Source organism: Homo sapiens, chromosome 15 (genome assembly GCF_000001405.40).
Source record: "Homo sapiens chromosome 15, GRCh38.p14 Primary Assembly".
Lineage (NCBI taxonomy): Eukaryota > Metazoa > Chordata > Mammalia > Primates > Hominidae > Homo > Homo sapiens.
The window spans coordinates 27,643,502-27,646,805 of record NC_000015.10 but is presented as its reverse complement, the minus strand read 5'-3'; the positions used below and the strand labels follow the sequence as shown (position 1 = coordinate 27,646,805).

General features: G+C 40.2%; 1 annotated feature.

The window, feature by feature from the left end:
* Window positions 552–1,332: an enhancer, noted in NCBI's record as "OCT4-NANOG hESC enhancer chr15:27890620-27891400 (GRCh37/hg19 assembly coordinates)". NCBI's record gives its function as "activates a minimal SCP1, AML or CMV promoter by ChIP-STARR-seq in primed H9 embryonic stem cells {active_cell/tissue: H9 hESC(primed)}" and the evidence as "EXISTENCE:reporter gene assay evidence [ECO:0000049][PMID:30033119]".

The window sequence follows — 3,304 nt, the reverse complement described above, 5'->3', positions numbered from 1 at the left end:
AAGGGTATCAATCAAGGGCCCTGCTCCTGACAGGAAGATATGACCTGAGGCGAGAGGTTTGCTGTGGCCATAATCCTCATTCTGTGACTCTGTGACTGAAGGAACATTTCAGCTCAGCAGGAAGCCAGAGTATTATCCACATGGCCGGTGGCGGGGACTGTGAGGCCGACCACCACGAAGGGCTTGATTTGTTAAGATCTGGGTTTCTGATGAATCATTGAAGGGAGCTGGAACCACATTGGGTACGAAGAGCTCTATTATTTCATGAAAGTCTTGGATGCACCCATGATTTCCCGCACACAGGTGCATTTAAGATTTTATTAATCTTAAAATAGGTATTTATTAGTTTTTCCCTTGTCTTTGTACATAAAGGACTGTGTTCTAAATTGGAAAAAGCTAATATGCACTTAATGAGATTGCTTGGGGGATTGCACACCATGCCATGAAATGTTTTAATGGAGTGTTCAAGCGAGTCAGCCGTAAGATCTCTCACTTCTCTCTAATTGAGAAAGCTATCAGGTGCAAACAAACATGAAGACTGCAAAAAACGAACAAGAACAGGAAGAAAACTGCATTATATTCGATGAAAGCATCTTATACACTGAGGTATTTGTTGGGATGCCAGGAGTGTTTAGATAAATGCTCATAAGAGAATCATGTATTGCTGACCTGTATTCAAATAAACACCTTTGATTGATTGATTTGTGATTGTATTTTTTCCAATTTTTTTGTCCTCAGCCCTTTGTAATCACCTCTAAATATTTTTGGGAGTTTTAAGGAGATGATGTGACAGAAAAGATCAGAGAGAGAATTCCATGCGTATTTTTAAACAGCATCTGCAGTGGGTCATACAAGTGCTGACTCCCGCCTTGAGCAGCACAAGGCACTTGGCACATATACAGAGAACCCCAGGTGGGGCCATCTACAGGGTCCTTGTCTCATTGTGATGCGTTAGGGTTGAAAGCCATTTCTCTTTGCTCACAGACTTTCTTCTCAAAGGAATTACATTTTTGTGCAACTGGCCATTGATCTAAAGATTAAAAGAAAAATAAAAGCACTAATCTTGAAATTGTTAAAGGTACAAAAATAGTTCCTGCAGGAGAGACACACTGGCCATAATACTTCTTGAACATTGAAAATTAATCCTACAAACTCCAGCTGGGAGCTCAACTGGTTTCTGTGCACAGAGAACTCACATCTTCAGGGATCAAGTTCAAACTGCTTGCATTTATTATGCAAATTTATATTGTGGCCTTGGCCTTGATTTACAAAGAAGAGGAGTTTGCTAATTAAAACAAAAGTCTTAGTGAGAAAGCAGGGCCAATTAAATTTATATACAGCAAATGAAACATCCATGTCTAGTTATATCTTAAAAAAAAACCCCAACAATCCAGAATTCAAGAATGTTAAAATATGACATGGAAAACTCCGTACACCTTTGAGACAAATTACACAACGATCAGCTTCACACTGAGCACATCCACCCTGTTCCCAGCATGGCCACTCTTCCTCTTGACACCTCACTTTCTCCATCAGCCACACCATGGTCAGCCCTCAATACCTGAGGCTCAAAGCTCAGACCTATCTTTGATACCATATTTTCCCATCTCTCCAAATGTCAGCAGTTGCCTTAAGTCTATTCTCCTTTCGAGTTTTAAGAAAAATGATGAAAAGTTCTCAAAATACCACATGAACTTGAGGTGTTTGTAAATGAGGCTATTCAGAGCTCAAGCAAAAAATTGAAATGGTTTGATGATGACAACACCAAACAAGAGTTTGATTGAAGTGAAGCTTGAAAATTTATTTAATCGAGGTCCTGGTTTTACAGGAAATGACCAAATAAATTTTTTTAAATAAAAAAGAATAAAAGGCCAAAATGCCAGCCAGAGAGAGGTAAGAGCTAAGAAAGTGGGGCCAAAGGAGGTGAAGAGGGAGAGCTGGAAGTGATCTCAGGTCATAGGAAGAGCTGGGGTTTTAGGGAGGAGGAGCAAAGCTGCTGGCAGCCCACTGCCTCCTGGACAGAGAAGAGGGGTCCCTGAGGGGTGGCCACAGCCCAGGGAAGCAGGGCTCCCACTCACAGAATGACACATGTTGGTGCACCTCACTTGGCAGGAGGACCCCCACCAGGTCTCCCTGCTGAGGTGCTGAGAGACTCCCCAACAAGCTAGTATGAACATTCAAAATAAGACAAAAGAATTAGAAGAAAGCATACCCTAAAGATATGAGGGACTATCACATACCATGAGAGAGGGTCCCCTAGCAAAACAAACACAAGAATTGACACCTAAGGGGGCAGAGGTGACAGGCTCCACAGAAGACACATCCTGTTGTTCTCATGGACAGATGATCAGTGATGTTGAGCTTTTTTTCATATGTTTGTTGGCCACATAAATGTCTTCTTTTGAAAAGTGTCTGCTCATGTCCTTTGACAATGGGATTGTTTTTTTCTTGTAAATTTGTTTAAGTTCCTCATAGAGTCTGGTTATTAGACCTTTGTCAGATGGACAGATTACAAACATTTTCTCCCATTCTGTAGGTTGTCTGTTCACTCTAGTGATAGCTTCTTTTGCTCTGCAGCAGGTCTTTAGTTCAATTAGATCCCATTTGTCAATTTTTGCTTTTGCTGCAATTTCTTTTGATGTTTTCATCATGAAATCTTTGCCTGTGCCTATGTCCTGAATGGTATTGCCTAGATTTTCTTCTACAGTTTTTATTGTTTTAGATTTAACTCTTTAAATCATCTTTAGTTAATTTTTGTATAAGGTGTAAGTAAGGGGTCCAGTTTCAATTTTATTAAAAAGGGAACCCTTTCTCCATTGCTTGTTTTTGTCAGGTTTGTTGAAGATCAGATGGTCGTAGATCTATGGTCTTCTGTCTGAGATCTCTATTCTGTTCCATTGGTCTGTATGTCTGTTTTTGTACCAACACCATGCTGTTTTGGTTACTGTAGACTTGTAGTATAGTTTGACATTGGGTAGAGTGGTGCCTTCAGCTTTGCTCTTTTAGCTTAGGATTGTCTTGGTTATACGGGCTCATTTTTGCTTCCATACGAATTTTAAAGTAGTTTTTTTCTAATTCTGTGAAGAATGTCAATGGTAGTTTAATGGGAAGAGCACTGACTCTATAAATTACTTTGGGCAGTATGGCCATTTTCACGATGTTGATTCTTCCTATCCATGAGCATGGAATGTTTTTCCATTTGTTTGTGTCCTCTCTGTTTTCCTTGAGCAGTGGTTTGTACTTCTTCTCGAAGAGGTCCTTCCACTTCCCTTGTTAGCTGTATTCCTAGGTGTTTTATTCTGTT